At 47.4% G+C, this 16,508-nt stretch overlaps 2 protein-coding genes across 2 annotated transcripts, besides 4 other annotated features; both read left to right on the forward strand.

The window, feature by feature from the left end:
• Window positions 1,984-2,673: a silencer, noted in NCBI's record as "silent region_6739". NCBI's record gives its function as "represses an Ori minimal core promoter by ATAC-STARR-seq in GM12878 lymphoblastoid cells {active_cell/tissue: GM12878}" and the evidence as "EXISTENCE:reporter gene assay evidence [ECO:0000049][PMID:35858748]".
• On the forward strand, window positions 2,356-7,221 carry TLNRD1 (talin rod domain containing 1). Its single transcript, NM_022566.3, has one exon. The coding sequence runs from the start codon at window positions 3,705-3,707 to the stop codon at window positions 4,791-4,793; it is 1,089 nt and encodes a 362-aa protein (NP_072088.1). The 5' UTR covers window positions 2,356-3,704; the 3' UTR covers window positions 4,794-7,221.
• Window positions 2,714-3,173: a silencer, noted in NCBI's record as "silent region_6740". NCBI's record gives its function as "represses an Ori minimal core promoter by ATAC-STARR-seq in GM12878 lymphoblastoid cells {active_cell/tissue: GM12878}" and the evidence as "EXISTENCE:reporter gene assay evidence [ECO:0000049][PMID:35858748]".
• Window positions 3,524-3,653: a silencer, noted in NCBI's record as "silent region_6741". NCBI's record gives its function as "represses an Ori minimal core promoter by ATAC-STARR-seq in GM12878 lymphoblastoid cells {active_cell/tissue: GM12878}" and the evidence as "EXISTENCE:reporter gene assay evidence [ECO:0000049][PMID:35858748]".
• Window positions 3,575-3,712, forward strand: LOC128071545 (uncharacterized). The gene has a single exon (NM_001414893.1). The coding sequence runs from the start codon at window positions 3,575-3,577 to the stop codon at window positions 3,710-3,712; it is 138 nt and encodes a 45-aa protein (NP_001401822.1).
• Window positions 4,147-5,031: an enhancer, noted in NCBI's record as "H3K27ac-H3K4me1 hESC enhancer chr15:81295055-81295939 (GRCh37/hg19 assembly coordinates)". NCBI's record gives its function as "activates a minimal SCP1, AML or CMV promoter by ChIP-STARR-seq in naive H9 embryonic stem cells {active_cell/tissue: H9 hESC(naive)}" and the evidence as "EXISTENCE:reporter gene assay evidence [ECO:0000049][PMID:30033119]".

Below are 16,508 nucleotides of genomic sequence, written 5' to 3' on the forward strand. Positions count from 1 at the left end.
TTGTGAATCTACTCCTATCCCTGGACTCTAAAGAGTGGGGGCCTCATATTACAAATTATGTAACTTTGGTGCCTAGCACAAGACTGGTGCCCAGTGATTGTGGAGTGATTGAACAATCGGACAAAGTAAAGGTGAACCTAAAGAAAGGTGGAGGCAGTGCCTGGGAGGATCAGTTTAGGAGCTTCCCTATCTGAAAAATGAAGCAGGGAAGGCCGAGAAAACAATGCTATCAGTTTTAAAAATGAAACCAAACCTCACTGAATAGAGTGGACAGTCTGTGTGTAACACAACTCATTGTCGGGGTGGGTTTCCATCAACAACAAAACAGACTGCATATGTAGAAGAAAGGGAAAATGGGACCCCCAGGGGCACTACGTGGCTTTGGAAAAAAAATCTGATCTTAGAGCAGCCTCAAGAATAAACTAGGCACAGAACAGTCTGACTTCCCTCTCATAAGTTTTATTTATTTATTTATTTATTTTTTTTTGAGACGGAGTCTCCCTCTGTCGCCCAGGCTGCAGTGCAGTGGCGCGATCTCCGCTCACTGCAAGCTCCGCCTCCCGGGTTCATGCCATTCTCCTGCCTCAGCCTCCCGAGTAGCTGGGACTACAGGCGCCCGCCACCATGCCCGGCTAATTTTTTGCATTTTTAGTAGAGACGGGGTTTCACTGTGTTAGCCAGGATGGTCTTGATCTCCTGACCTCGTGATGCGCCTGCCTTGGCCTCCCAAAGTGCTGGGATTACAGGTGTGAGCCATCGCTTTCGGCCCCCTCTCATAAGTTTTTGGAGCTTAAGAAGGACTAAGGTGCAATCCCTGGGTCACCATGGAAAAACCTTGACTTATCCAGCTGTTTTTTTTTTCTCTTGTAGAAGAAAAAAAGGAATTAACCCTACATAATTACTTCCTATTTCAAGTCAGTTTTATTGACCTCGGTTTGCAAACTAAGTGGGCTCATCCGGATTCTAAAGATATTTAAGGATACTTTCAGTTATAAGTAGGATGACTATCCATCCAGGTTTGAACCTGCTGTTCATGGTTAATTTATTAATAGCATGTCTCACAGTTCATTCTCAGAAATGCTTGGATATGGCCGATAAATTGAAACGTCATCCTAGTTAAAAGTAACGTTTTTAACTGGCTGGAGAAAGGTGACTTGGGGTTCTAGGAAGGGACAGAGGAACAAACATTCTGTTGGCTCAGCACGCCCAGCCTGTGTTGGGCTGGGCACCTTAGAGGACCTGTTTCAGGACTGCGTGACTGGCGTTTTGCTGGGAGTAGCCCAGGTGTTTTAACCACTTCCTGAAGAACAAGGTTCGGTAAAAAGAGGCTGGGGCGTAGGCGTGGGTTCCTGTCCCTGCCATATGCTGTCTTCCTGATCTTCGGAAGTCACTTCAAGCACCTGATCATCAGTTTCCTTATCTGTAAAACTGGAGTAGTAATGTTTCCCTCCAAACGCCGTCGTATTTAATTCATTTAACAGCAGCCACTATTATTCCATTATACAGACGAATAAATAGACGTTATGAGAGGGCAAAGTGCGCTGATCAGGGCTCATAATAATTCTAACAGCTACTGTTTAGGAACCAAGTACTCAAGCAGCCTGTGCACAATCTCTAATTTCTAGAAGAGAAGACGGATACTTGGAAAGAGAACTTGAACAATGTCATGGAACTCATAAATGGCTTGAGAAAGGCTGATCCTAGGAAATCTGCTTCAGAACCCGCGCTCTCACTGCATAAGGCGTATTTCAAGGGAGGAACGGGCAGGCATCTAGCACCACTCTTCGGACTCCCCATCCAGTGCTCTTTTCCTCTTTTCGTTACACTGCACTGCTGGTCGGAAACCCATCGTGGAAGTGGATCAAACACAACAAAGGGCAGGGGGCGTTGGAAAACCGGGCGAAGTCGCGCAGACCGAGACGACCCACCGGCCCCAGCAAATCACCAGGGGCCGAAATCCAGTGTCCTCCTCCCTTCAGCCCAGAAGCCAGGTCACCTTTTAGACTTGCTCTCTTGGCGGGGAGGAAGCGTGGAGCCCCCTGGTCCGGCTAAGAGCTTACGTAAGGCCCGCGGGCGGCTGCGCCCCGGTCTCCCATGGGTGTGCGCAGAGCCCCCGGGCCGGAGCAGGCCTTCCCCTGTCCGCTCCCCCAGTCTCTCGGCCCAGGACCACGGGGGAGTTCAGGACCACCGGCCCCACGCCGGCAGCGTCCGCGTTGGGCGGCGGCGTCCCCCGCAGCCACCCAGCTTCCCGGGGGAGGAGCAGCGCATCGCGCAAGCATCCGGGAGCGGCGGAGGGGGCGGGAGGAAGGGCGAGAGGAGGAAGCGGGATTTAAACGAAAGGCGGTGACGCCACACAAAAGATTTCTATAGGCTCCAGGGAGGTTACGGCCGAGGCGGCGGCGGCGGCGAGCCCGGGGGCGAGGCGCGGACGGGAACAGGAAAAGCCTCCGGCAGCCCCTGCGGGCGGCGGCGCAGCCACGGCCGCGCTCCGAGGTGAAGCCGCGCGCGGAGAGGAAGCGGGTGTTTTCCCCTCTGCCTTTCGGCCCCCGCCCTTCCTTTCAGTTTCTGCCCGCTCGCTCGGAAGTTGGCGGTTGACAAAAATGGCAGGAGCCGGGGCCCGGGCCGGTTGCCGCAGCGCCGCGGGGACCTTCTGAGTTGGCCCGGTGGCAGGGAGACTCGTGCAGGGGCGTCCGATGCGCGGGGCCCGGGGCCTCGGGAGAGCTCAGCTGCTGCGGGCCCCAGACGAGGCGACAGGGATGGACTTGCGTAGACAGCCAGCGCCGGGCCGCCGGGCGCGCGGTCTGGGAGGGCGTGCCGCCGCGGCGCCGGGCCGCGCTCTGTGAACCGGCGAGGCGGGAAGGGGCCGCCGTGGTGCTCGGCACGCCCGGGCGTGTGGCGGGCGGGCGAGAGCTTGAGCGCGATCCGGGCGGCCGCTGTGCGCAATCAGTGCAGGCTCCCGCCCGACTCTGACTCGGCGCGGCCGCGACAGTGCCGGCCACACCCTCTGCCCCGCTGCCGCCGGCGCCGCTTCCCAAGAGCTGGAGGCAGGAGATGCGCCCGGGGCGGCCGCGCGTCCCAGAGAGCCAGCCCCGGCCGCCGTCGCGGGGAAGTGCCGCCTGGTGGGGTCACGGCGCCTGAAGCCCACGTGCGCCGCCGAGCCCGAGGTGGCCTCGAGCGCGGCGGCTGACAGCACAGCCCGCCTGAGCTGCCTCCCGCGCTCCTCCCCGAGGAAAGGATTTTGATTTCAAAGAAAGGAAGGAAGGAAGGACAACTCCCAGCTTCCCCGTCCCGCCCTCCCCGCTCCGAGGGCCGCGCCAGGCCATGCCCAAGAAGGCGGCGGCGGCGGCGAACCAGCAGAAGGGACTTTCCTGGCAGCCCGGCGACGAGGAGCGCGGACAGTGAGTTTGCTCTGCCCCGGTTCATGGTTCCTGCAAGCCCTCTAGGAGGCCGAAAGCTGCAGCCCCTCCCCTTGCCCCGAAGAGCCTTCCGCGTTCTCTCGCCCTCGGGCCCACCCCGCGCCGCCCGGGCTCCCGCCGCCGCAGCCCAGTGCCCTCTGCCCGCGGCGGTGGATGGCATGATGGTGCGGGGAAGGCACCGCGGCCTTGGCCAGCTGAGTCGCGACGGCCGCCGGGGCGGCGGCAGTGGCCGCGGCAGCGGCGGTGGTAGCGGGCTCCCCAGCGGCATGCCAGTGCCCCCCGGGCGCGATGGCTAGCGGCAGCGCCGGGAAGCCCACTGGCGAGGCGGCTTCTCCGGCTCCTGCGAGCGCCATCGGCGGGGCCAGCTCGCAGCCGCGGAAGAGGCTGGTATCCGTCTGCGACCACTGCAAGGGCAAGATGCAGCTGGTGGCTGACCTGCTGCTGCTGTCGAGCGAGGCGCGGCCCGTGCTCTTCGAGGGCCCCGCCTCCTCTGGTGCCGGCGCCGAGTCCTTCGAGCAGTGCCGGGACACCATCATCGCGCGCACCAAGGGGCTCTCCATCCTCACCCACGACGTGCAGAGCCAGCTCAACATGGGCCGCTTCGGGGAGGCGGGGGACAGCCTGGTGGAGCTGGGCGACCTGGTGGTGTCGCTGACCGAGTGCTCGGCCCACGCGGCCTATCTGGCCGCTGTGGCCACGCCGGGCGCCCAGCCCGCGCAGCCGGGCCTGGTGGACCGCTACCGCGTGACGCGATGCCGCCACGAGGTGGAGCAGGGTTGCGCCGTGCTGCGCGCCACGCCGCTGGCCGACATGACGCCGCAGCTGCTGCTGGAGGTGTCGCAGGGCCTGTCGCGCAACCTCAAGTTCCTGACGGACGCGTGCGCCCTGGCCAGTGACAAGTCACGGGACCGCTTTTCGCGGGAGCAGTTCAAGCTGGGCGTCAAGTGCATGAGCACCAGCGCGTCGGCGCTGCTGGCCTGCGTGCGCGAGGTGAAGGTGGCGCCCAGTGAGCTGGCGCGCAGCCGCTGTGCGCTCTTCAGCGGGCCCCTGGTGCAGGCAGTGAGCGCCCTGGTAGGCTTCGCCACCGAGCCGCAGTTCCTGGGTCGCGCGGCAGCTGTGAGCGCCGAGGGCAAGGCGGTGCAGACCGCCATCCTGGGCGGCGCCATGAGCGTGGTGTCGGCCTGCGTGCTCCTGACCCAGTGCCTCAGGGATCTGGCGCAGCACCCCGACGGGGGCGCCAAGATGTCGGACCACAGGGAGAGGCTGAGGAACTCGGCCTGCGCCGTGTCTGAAGGCTGCACCCTGCTATCTCAGGCTTTAAGGGAGAGGTCTTCGCCCAGGACTTTACCGCCAGTGAATTCCAATTCTGTGAATTAGCACCCCACCCCCATACCCCTTCTTCCACCCCCAGACTAAAGGAAGATACTTACTCTCTGCCCCTCTCCATTTATACCAAAGAAATCATAGGTGAAACCCCCTACCCTCCCCAACGTTAAATGCTCGAGAGGAATCTTCCACAAGGCAGGGCCATGCACGCAACCTGCACACGCACTTGGAGGGCCCAGGTGTCTCTCCACCAGCCCCCATGCAGTAGGGACTGGAAGATATGTCATCTGCTGGTTGTGTTATCACTCCCACCCCCTACCCCAGCCCGTCTTCCGGAATTTCTCAACTAAATTTCATTATTGGGCAGGAAGGAGGTCATGGGTTCATTTCATTTTTGTTTTTTGTGTTTTTAATTAAAAGAAAGGTTACCTCAGTTTTCACTCCTTAGACATGGATGTAGCTACCTTTTTTTGTATGTCTTTTTTTTTTTTAAGCAATCGTGTTGAATTAGGAGTATACTTGGTGTGGAAAGAGTATGAATTTGCCATGTGATTTGCAAATGGGGGGAAGCTACTGTGAGCGTGTGTTTTTTTAATTTACACTATAGAGTGATTTTTTTTTCCCCCAACGTCAAGTTTTTACCTTGCATGTACTGGAGTATTTATTTCATCTATTAAAATGTTATGTTTCTCAGATGGCTTTTTGCAATTATTGTTGATTTTTCAATAATTGTAATTTTGCATGCTGCATGTCATGTATGGGAAGGGTCTGTGGGAAGGCTATTTCAATAGTAGTGAGGCGGGCCCCCAATTCCCAGCCCTTTCTACTATTTCCTCAAGAAAAAGTACTGCTCAAGAAGTACTCCCTTGAGCAGCCTGGAACTGAAGAGAGGACTATGTGTAACGTTCTATTTTAAAAGGCAGGTGACACAAATGGGATTGGGTTATGTAGAGTGCTTGGGACGGTTTTGTCTCATTTTTCCTGGAAAGTGATTTAGCTCCCTTTGTCTCCACTTACCTTTCCATCATCATGAACAGTGGCTCAGGCTGCTTGAATTCTGATTTGTATTCTGCCTATCATTTTCAGATTAAATCCTAATCCTGTGTGGTATGCCAGCCTTCCCAACTCAGAGTCTCTGGATGGAACTCTAAAAGTACTGTACATCAAGTGAGAATAGTTAGCATCTTTTATGTACACAGGTCTATTCAGACAAGATCCTCATGATTTCAGAAAAAATATAGAGAGGGTCCTAGACTGCTTAATAGAGGAAAGAAGTATCCTGGAAAGCTTGTTAAGAACGTTCTAGAGCCACAACATGATTGTAGGCCAAGGGCTTGTTTTTGTGACCTTGATCTAAGATAATGCCATGGTTGATTGTATGTTGGAAGAATCTTTGATTGGAATTTGGAGTAATATTAAGGTAGTTTGTCTTTTCTGCAGACATTTTTAGGAGTCTTTTTGTGTGAGTGGTGGTGGAGTGTATAGTTTTGTTGAACCTAGTTAAATTCTGAATATCTTCCCACTAAAAGCACAACAAATCTATTTACAGTGCCTGAAGCCTGGGAGAGCCACATGAGTAAAAACTCGTACGTGGTTTAGATTTGTTCCATTTACATTTTTCTTGGGATTTGTTGTGCTTAAACCTTTGCAGTTCCCACAGATCTGAAAAGAAAGCATTTTTCACTGTAATACATTAAGAGAGAGAGAAAAAAGTCATATTGACTATTTTACTTGTTTGAATCGCTGTTTTTATTACAATGACATGAAATACAACGTGTAAAAGTCTTTAACCTGTGTTGGGTAAGGGTAGGACTGTTTCACCACCCTGAATTTGAAATTTGAAAAAGTCTTAAAGTGGTAGGGTACTTAAATTTTTAAAAAAATGACCATGGGAGCAGTTTTTCTCTGTTAAATCCTGGTAAACTTCGGGTTTTTGAAGACTTTAAAAGATGAAAATGACCTTGAGCATCTTTATTCCTTTCCTCTGCCCCTTAATGTTGGGATGGGGTTCAGGATGAAAGGGAGGTGGGATTCTAATTCATGTGCCAGTGACAATCCTGCATGCATATAGAAATTTTTATTTATTGAATGTACACAAGTAATGATGGAGTTTGATTATATGGTTCATTTTCATTTATCCTATGCAGATCACAAAGAGTAAACTGAAAGGAACAAACGCTAAGTAAAATAAGGGCCAGAAATCTGTAAATTTGGTATTAGATTAAGAAAAAAAGAATTGCCAGTTTTTTCCTGGACTCTTTCCTTGCAGAAGCGATTTTCAGGACAACTCAAGCCAATTAAAAAAAAGAAAATCACTTTCCCTATCTGTTTGGATGAAGTTAACTAGCTAGTCACTAAGTGAATTTTGAAACCTCTTACCTAAATGATAGCTGCTCTTGGTGTTTCTTTATGCTCTACGTTTGGTCATGTAACATGCATAATCTCTGTTCTCTGAAGTTGATTAAAGTTCTAAACTTAAGCGTTTTCACTGCTCCTGCACCCCCCACCTCCCATTTATAACATAAAGTTCAGGGCTTTTCTTCCAGCAGGTGTCTTGAAGTGAATTCTGCTTGTACTTTTTTTCTAGCAGATTTCAAGAAGCCAGAGTGAGGAATGCTAGGCAAGGGGATTGGGCACAGGTCTTTGACATTTTAACTTTTCTCTAATGTCCCAGGTTGCTAAACTTGTTTTTTAAATAGCCCCTGATGTTTAAAAAAAGCAGCGTCTCAGACCTATTTCATAATAGGGTTTAATAAGGTCAGCAGAGATACTGGTTCCAGGAATAAAATCAGAGTGGCCTGTTTTTTTTGTTTGCTTTTTAATTTTTAAACTAGGGTTAATTTAAGACATTAATCCTTGGGTTCTTCTGACTCCTGAGGGCAAGTTTTCTTACACAGGCTTAATGTGCATCATCTTGACCAGGGAATGTTGAGAACCTTCTTCCTTTGAATGGTCATGAGAAAAGGAAATCATGATTGCTAAGTTCTTTGAACAAAAGACATTATTTATGATAGTCAACTCAGTAAATGGAACAAAAACAGTCTTTCAAACATAAGACTTAACCAGAAAAAAGCACAACTCCATCTTTCTTTGCCTGTTTTAAGCATAGCATTTATGGGTGATGTTAGGAAACACAAAAATTATGTGTGTGTATTTGCTTTCTTCCGCACCCCCACCATCCTCATCTGATTGGTTATTTTACACACACTTTTTTTTTTTTTTGAGAGGGAGTCTCACTCTGTCGCCCAGGGTGGGATCTCGGCTCACTGCAAGCTCCACCTCCCGGGTTCATGCCATTCTCCTGCCTCAGCCTCCCTAGTAGCTGGGACTGCAGGTGCCCGCCACCACGCCTGGCTAATTTTTTTTTTTTTTTTTTTGTATTTTTAGTAGAGACGGGGTTTCACCGTGTTAGCCAGGATGGTCTTGATCTCCTGACCTCGTGATCCACCCGCCTCGGCCTCCCAAGTGCTGGGGTTACAGGCGTGAGCCACCGCGCCCTAACTTTTTTTTTTTTTTTTTTTTTTAAAGCTGGCATGGGGATTTAAAATATTTGGCAGTTTGGAACAGCTAATTTTAACAGAAACACCTGTTTTTCCGAATGAATGTGACTATGGTAACATGCAGATCAGGCAGAGGATTTGAAAAATGACTGCCAAAATTCTTTCTGAGCTTTGCTGAGTGAACGTGGAAGGATTTAGAGAAGAAATCCTTAAAGATTTAGTAGCATTTTCACCTGGGACTGTTCCCTGGGCTGCCTTGTGGTTTGCATCAACTGGAAGAGGCTTTAAGGAGACCATCTCTGAGTTTCCAGTGTGGGCACAGGTATTTGTGTTCCTCCCTGGCAAATTCTTGTCTTTACTTAATTTTTTTTTTTTTTTTTTGGTAGGAGTATGTATGCAATTAATTGCTCCATTTTGACTAAGCAGGGTTTTACTTTAGGGTTCTTTAGGTAGGTGAGTTGTCTGCTTCGACTTCAGTGGCAGAAGGCTTTAAGATTTAACTGTCCGGGTATTATAAGGAAAAAGTGTGATACTAGTGTCTATGATTGGGGTCAATTTAATTTAACTGTGGACCCCTTAAGGTTAAGGGCTATAGTGCCCAACATATGTGTAATTTTTTTTTAAATGAATCTGTATATAAGATACTTGGCAGCAAGTATACATAAGCAAGTAGTAAAATTGTTCCTGGAAATGAAAGTTATAATGGTCATTAATTCGGCAAATATTTACTGGGGACCAACTGTGTGTGCTACTAGACACTGCTGGTGCTGGTGTGCAGCTGTGAGTGAGACGTGGTTCCTCTTGGGAAGGCTGCTGTCTAGACTCAGTGCTAGACTCAGACCAACCTCAGCTTGGTCTGTGGGACTCTCAGTCTCATCCTGGGCCCTACCTTTAACGTATTCCATCAGAAACTCTTGAGGTGTGGCAATTTGTGTTTTATCAAGCCCTCCCAGTTGATTCAGATGCATGCCCACGTTGGAGAACCACTGCCCTACAGGGGCTGTGGGTTTCTTTTTTATTCTCTGTCAGGTCTGAGTCTAGAGTACTTCTCTATCAGGAAGCATCAGCGTTTCTGCAAATTACGTGTTTGCTCAGGTGGTTTTGTTCTCCTGGATATTTTGAGACCATTTCTCCAGATAGAGAAGACAAGTTGGTCTCTTGTTAATTTGAAATCTTTGAGAATCCAGGTTTTTCTTTTGGAGAGGGGGATGTGATTACAAGTTCAGGGTCCTTCCCTACCTCCCACCACCCTTTTGAGATGAACTGAAATCATTTAATAGTGAACTGGCAAAACAGCTTTCTATGCTTTCACATGTTGTTGACGCTTGTCCTGGAAAACGGAATAGCAGACAAGCTAATTAAAATTCAACCCTTTAGCTCTTTGGTTGCCCAAGAAAGAACACTTTGATACTGAGTTTGTAAAGTACTATATTCAGAATGAGATGTAGTATATAGACTTATCCCAAAGCTCACTTTAAGGATAACCAAAGTCTGCAATATACTCAGGAAATATACTCTCTAAGGCTGACCATGCACCAGGAATTAGGATGATCTTTTAGAGTCTCATTCCTCAAAAGGGTGGCCCCAGAAGCTGGCATTGGCATCACCCAGGAACTTGGTAGATACACAGACTATTGGCCCGCCCTGGCCCAGATCTACCCAATTAGAGCCCTCTTTTTGACAGGTCCTCTAGGTGATTTCTGTCCCATAAATATTTGAGAAGCAGATAAAAGCAGTGGCCATGACTGAATCATAGTTTCATTCTTTACTGTAGGAACCTAGGCATTTATTATGTTTACTTAGATCTTTTTGGTTTATAAAGTGCTTTCATGTTTATTATGTAATTGGGTCCTTAGTGCAATCTTGTGAGGTGGGCAGGTATTACCGTGGATGTCATCTAAACATTTGTGCCTTGCCTTTCCCATTATAAAAATTAAATGAATTCACATGAAATGTAAGCCCTTGTGATGAGCTTTAAGATCTTGTGATGAGCTTTGTAAGACAAGTACCTGCCAGGCATGGTTGCTTAGGCCTGTAATCCCAGCACTTTGGGAAGCTGAGATGGGTGGATTGCTTAAGCCCAGGAGATCGAGACCCACCTGGGCAACATGGCAAGACTCTGTCTTTCAAAAAAAAAAACAAAATGTTAGCCAGGCATGATGGCATGTGCCCGTAGTCCCAGCTACTTGGGAGGCCGAGGTGGGAGGATCACTTGAGCCTGGGAAGTCGAGGCTGCAGTGAGCCATCATCTCAGGACAGCACTCTAGCCTAGAGGATAGAGCAAGACCCTGTCCCCCCATAAAATTTAAAAAAAGACTAGTTCTGTCTTCTTCATAAAGTAAACAAAAGTATGATCTAAAAAAACTATGTTAAAGTCAGTTTCCCTTAATAACCTTGCCTTTACCCTTCCAGTAATTTGACACAGCAAGTATACTATAACATCCTCAAGGACGGCCCAGATGATGAGCATAGCTCTGTTTTCTCAGTCTACCTCTGGGAAGGATTCTGTGTGGTTTCAAACCTCCTATCCAGATTCTCTAAAACATTGGGTGTCTTATAATTTTAAAACCATGTCAGTCAAACATTTTAGACTTCAGGTAAGATTTGAATGCTAATTAAGATTTGTTAGCATAATTTAAAAGTGAATCCATTTACTGATTTTAAACTTTATAATTCATAGTTTGATTGGCAAGTCTGTTTAAATGTCGAAGATAACATGTATCCAGATTTTGCTGAAGTAGACATAGAGAGGAAATTTTTTAAATCCAATGTTTCAGGAAGGGAAATATATATGCTGTGCATTCAAGTTTAATGAACATACTGACCTGAAAAACTGCTGAAATTATAGGGCATCACCTAAGCTTTAATAGCTTCTGATTTTGTTCTAATTTTCCCAAATATTAGGTGGTACGCCAGATACTGTTTAAGTGAAAAATCATTTGGTTACCTTGGCTATCTTACCAACTTTTTAAGAGACCTACATTGATGATAAACCTCCAGAAATTGGAGATTATTGTAGGAAACCCAGGTCCATTTAGTGTTCACTGATGCCCTTTCAGTTTAACTTTTCTCATTTTGATGATCATCAGCTTCCTGTTCTAAAATTAACTGGCAAGTCATTCTAGCATCTCCCTTCAGATAGAATTTTGTGTTAATGATTTTTCTAAGTGTTTACTTGGCAGCTTGGTTTTACTTAAACATTCCTTCTCATGCAGGTTCCATGATGAAGATATTTCTAAAAACATAAGCATGCTTCTACTTTAGTTATCACTTTGAATTTGATTTTTAAGGTATGTGGGCATTTTGTGTTTGAAATGCAATGCAAAGCTGTCCGTAAAACTGACACAAATAGATCACCTGATATTTTAGCTGTCTTCATGATGGAATCATACTACTCTGGAGCAATTTTTATTATACTGTTTCTTTAAACTGGTTCTGCTGTGATTATTATGTAAGTGTGGCTGTGACGAAGGAGAGCCCCATGAAGATGGCTTTATATTCCGTTTGGCTCAGCAACAATGACTCTAATAAACCGGATTGAAATGGGAGTTTTTCTACCTGGATTATACACATAACTAAAATGGATAGGTAAACTCAACTGAATAGATATGAAATCACTTTAAAGATTCATCCTTTTTCTTTTCTTTTCCTTTCTTTTCTTTTCTTTTCTTATTTTTTTTTTTTTTTTTTTTTTTGTGACAGTCTTGCTCTGTCACCCAGGCTCCCAGGCTGCAGTGCAATGGCGTGATCTCGGCTCACTGCAACCTCCGCCTCTTGGGTTCAAGCAATTCTCGTGCCTCAGCCTGCCAAGTAGCTGGGACTAATTTTTGTATTTTCAGTAGAGATGGGGTTTCACCATGTTGGGCAAGCTGGTCTCGAACTCCTGACCTCACGTAATCCGCCCACCTTGGCTTCCTAAAGTGCTAGGATTACAAGCATGAACCACAGTGCCCACTAAAGATGCATCCTTATAGGTGGCTCAAGTGTTCCAGTTCCCCTCATCCCTCTCTTTCTGGAGGGCAAGCAAAGCTTCTTGCCCACAGAAGTTTCTAGAAACACTGGCAATTCTTGACTTCACTGGGACGTTTTGCTTCATCCTGGGCAGCCACAAAACACCTTCTAGATTCACATTAATAATAAATGAATGCATTAGCCCATTGTCACATAGGGGCAAGTTGCTGGTAATGACACTTACTATGCCATTCATTAGTTGGGTCTAGAATAGTGTCAGATTTAGCAAGGCCAATGGTAAAAGTTTCTGATTTAGCAAACATTTACTAGGTGTCTGGGGCAGTATTAGGCATGTTCTCTGTATTAAAATATTACCTTACTTAAGGAGTTACTCAAAGTCACACAACTACTGTTAGAAACAATCCTAGAACTAGAAACAACCCTAGAAATCCAGTCCTTTGTCTTCCCCAATAAAATCAATTTGAGATGCCGTTTGTCAGGCTGAAGACATTTTCCAAGTGCATCATCCTTTTGTGTTACATTTATGTAACTGGAGAAAACAGAGGCCTAGGAAAGCGTAGCATTGAGTACTCATTGTTCGGGTGACTGGGGAGTAGTATGTAGGCATTGGCATGACGCACCAGAGCATCTTCTCTTTAGGTGTGATAAATGGTTTAGGTTTGACTGTATCATGGGTGTTGATTCTTTCCTGGGTATACGAGAATTATTCACTTTAAATGCTACAAGGAAAAAGTTTTAAATGTTGAAAAAAAACTAAGCCTATTTGATTTTTTTTTCGTTTTAAACATGTCCATGAAATCCTGTATGGTCTGAACTTCTATGGCTTCTTGTCAGATTTCAGAGCTGAGAGACTAGATGCTTCTACCATCTTACAAATAGCTTAAGAAGTGAATTTTGCATTATCTATTGGGAGTTCACTTAGAGTTTTTGGAAGAACTTCCTAATTGCCTAATCTAAATTGTTCCTTTTGCATTGTTTTTCCCTGTGTGTGTATGTGTGTGGCTGAGAGAAGAATGACTCACAAACTCCATACAGAGTATAGGACATTAGTTGGAGCCTCCTGGGGATATCAAGATACTGGGATCTTCACCATGGATTTTTCAACAGTGTTCAGTAGACCTTTCTTAAGCCTGACTGTACAGAGAGGATGCTGTACTTAACAATAAGTGTTGGGAATATGGATAAGAGCTTAGAATGCAGTGGAAGTGATAGCAAGATAAAACACATTACAAGGGACCAGGATAAGTGCCATAATTTATGTTCCTAAGGATCTTCTAATCTAGATCTTTGGCTGTTTGGGGCCTCATAGTCCCTAGATTTGATCATCTGGATATATTATCCTGCTGACCAGGGAGAAGGATGTTGACATCAGAACCCCACTTTCCTACTCTCAGTGCCAGGCGACCGCATATAATGTAGGTGGGAATTCCATCGAATGTATTTTCTGTGCAGCCAGAGGGCAGTTTTTAGTTAGAGGTTTCAGGTGCCTTAAAAAGTAGGCTTTATTCCAAGGCTCAGGGATCATTTTCTGTTCTGCTCTTTGATTTTTTTTTTCCCAAGACAGAGTCTTGCTCTGTCGCCCAGGCTGGAGTGCAGTGGTGCCATCTCGACTCACTGCAGCCTCCACCTCCCAGGTTCAAGCACTTCTGCCTCAGCTTCCCAAGTAGCTGGGATTACAGGAGAGTGCCACCACGCTCATCTAGTTTTTGTATTTTTAGTAGAGGTGGGGTTTCACCATGTTGGCCAGAGGCTGATCTCGAACTGGCTGGTCTCAAACTCCTGACCTTGTGATCTGCCCTCCTTGGCCTCCCAAAGTGCTGGGATTTCAGGCATGAACCACTGCGCCTGGCTGCTCTTTAATTCTGAGGTGGTGTTGATGCAGAGTGTGAGGCTATTGCTGGATGGGATCTGCACTGTAGGAAGCAGAACAGCTTTCCCCTACTTCACTGAAGCAGCTAGCCTGGCCTTGGATCAGCAGCCATGGGTGGGGCCAGTGGGCCCAGCTCACTTGCAGAAGAGTCCTGAGCCTGGCTGCCCGCCATTGTTGTGGATCACCAAGAACTGAACTGGGCTCCTGAAGATGCACCTGGCCTGGAGAGTGCACCTGTCTGGCTGATAGACTGGGAGCTTTTCAAGGCAATCTGTTGTGTCTTTTTCATCTGTCATCCCTAGAAGGTGACCAGGATGCTAAATTGTTTGTTTAATGAAAGAAAATCAATAGCTGGCATTTTTTTGAGCTCCTGATGTATACGCTAGAAACTTTACATTGTGTTTCTCAGTCCTTAAAGCAACCCCTTTGAGGTATGAAGAGTCGTTCTCATTTTACAGATGAGGATGCTGAATTGAAACCACTTGCCTAGGGTCAAAGAAACTAGTAAGTAGGGGGATAAAGGTAAGAATCAAGGTCTTGTGACAGAGACAGCATTCTTAGCCACTTGGCTATAGTGAATGAATGATTTTTAGGATAGTGTCCCTCTGCCCATTGAGGCGAAATGCTCTTCAACTCTGTTAAATTTTTAATCTTTCCAATGACAGTTCCTATGGGTTTCTTCCTAAGCCTCACTTAAGCCTTTGGTCTGAGCTCCTCTTGGACCATTTGTGGAGGGCCCTGGATGCCCACAGGCCCCTTGTAAAGACTCGGGCAGAGTTGATTCCATGGACAGATGGCTTTCCACCTGCTTCATGATCCTGGTATCCTAAGGGATGCTTGAAGAAGATAAACCTCTGGTTTGTCAAGGAACTTCCACTTGGATTTCTAAATTGCAGCTGCCTTTGCTCTTCACCTACTTGGAACACTTCCATGGTTCTCCCGTGGACTTTAGGATAAAAGGCAAACTCCTCACTGAGGCATTTCTAGCAGGTCTGGTCTCTCACAGTCTACCCATAATTATACTTTTTAGAGGTCCTTCCAGTGTCATGCTGTCTTCTTGCCTCCAAGCTGTTGCACAAGCTGTCCCTTGGAACACTCACCCCACATCCTGCTTCTCCTTAACCCGCTTCCGCAGTCCTCAGCCTGGGTGGCACCCTCTCCTGCAGGTCCCTGTAGTACCCTGCACTTTCCCTATGTTAGTATTTATCAAGTTACTGTAATTCTCTGTTTACCTATCCATGTTCCTAGTATGGATCATCATCAGGTGGTGGCATCATCTTTTTATCTCCAGTGATTAACGCAGTTACCTAACACATATGAGGCTCTCAATAAACATCTCTGCTGAACAAATGTAGTGTTTATAAGTCATATCAAGCTTTTAGAGATGAAAAGCCCCAAGAGTAAAATAGTTCATTAACCTTTTCCTTTGGCTAGATTCCCTTCAGTCAGTTACCAAATTCTTTCAAATTCTCCTTTCTCATACCCTTGGCATCTGTTTCTTCTCCCCAGCTGCACAGCCAGCATCCTAGCCTAGGCCCCTTGTTGACCCTCACCTGAACAATGCTGCTTAATGAGTCCCTAGCTGCAGTCTGGATTACCTGCCCAAATTAGGCATGCTTTCATCACCTCCTCCCATCAGCCATGTCTTTTGTGTAGTAAATCTAGGCCCTAAACTGCAACTTCACATAGTCTACTTATTGAGTACCGACAGCATGCCACTGGACTGGTCCCACAGGGAATAGGACCAGGCCCTTATCAGGCCATGGCACTCATCTCCCACCACCCCCAGCCCAACCTCTGTTCCAGCATGATGGGCAGAACTCAGGCCTTTTTCCGTGCTGTTCTTATTCCTATATCTGCTTTTGCTTTTGTTGGTCTCTTTATGTGAAATATCTTTCCCGTCCTTCTGAACACGTGGTAACCCTTTGAGCCTAGATGACTCCAAAGACTAGGACTCTCCATCTGTGCTGCAGAACGGGGCGGCCTTGGCATGTCTGGTCTTTTGTGGACTTCCCAGGGATCTGGGTGGCTTCCAAGGCCCTGGATGGCCCAAATTCTCTTCCCTTAACTGGTCTAGGTACCCCAGGGCCTCACCTAAGTTTGAGCTCTGAGCTGGAGGACTGGATGCCAACCTGGTGATGATTCTTGCCTCTCTCCTCAGGGCGGTATTAGGTCCAGCAGGGGTCACGAAACAAAATGCCACCTCAAGAAGGGAGTCTTTTCCCACAAACGAACTTAGAACCATATTCCCTGGGGAGCCCTTGAAATCAGCGTGAGAACTGACTGAGGGAGTGAGTCCTGGCTTTGAGTCCCATAATTGTTATAATACAGAAATTACTCATGACTTTCCATAATCAAGTTTTAGTTATAACAGTGTACTTAAGCTGGGCTCTGGGGTGAGCAGTGCCCACTAGCAATCTCTGC

This window comes from Homo sapiens, chromosome 15 (genome assembly GCF_000001405.40).
Source record: "Homo sapiens chromosome 15, GRCh38.p14 Primary Assembly".
NCBI lineage: Eukaryota > Metazoa > Chordata > Mammalia > Primates > Hominidae > Homo > Homo sapiens.

Excerpts from the sequence above, each read along its gene's own strand:
- LOC128071545 (NM_001414893.1), top strand. The coding sequence starts at position 3,575 with ATGATGGTGCGGGGAAGGCACCGCGGCCTTGGCCAGCTGAGTCGCGAC.
- TLNRD1 (NM_022566.3), top strand. The coding sequence starts at position 3,705 with ATGGCTAGCGGCAGCGCCGGGAAGCCCACTGGCGAGGCGGCTTCTCCG.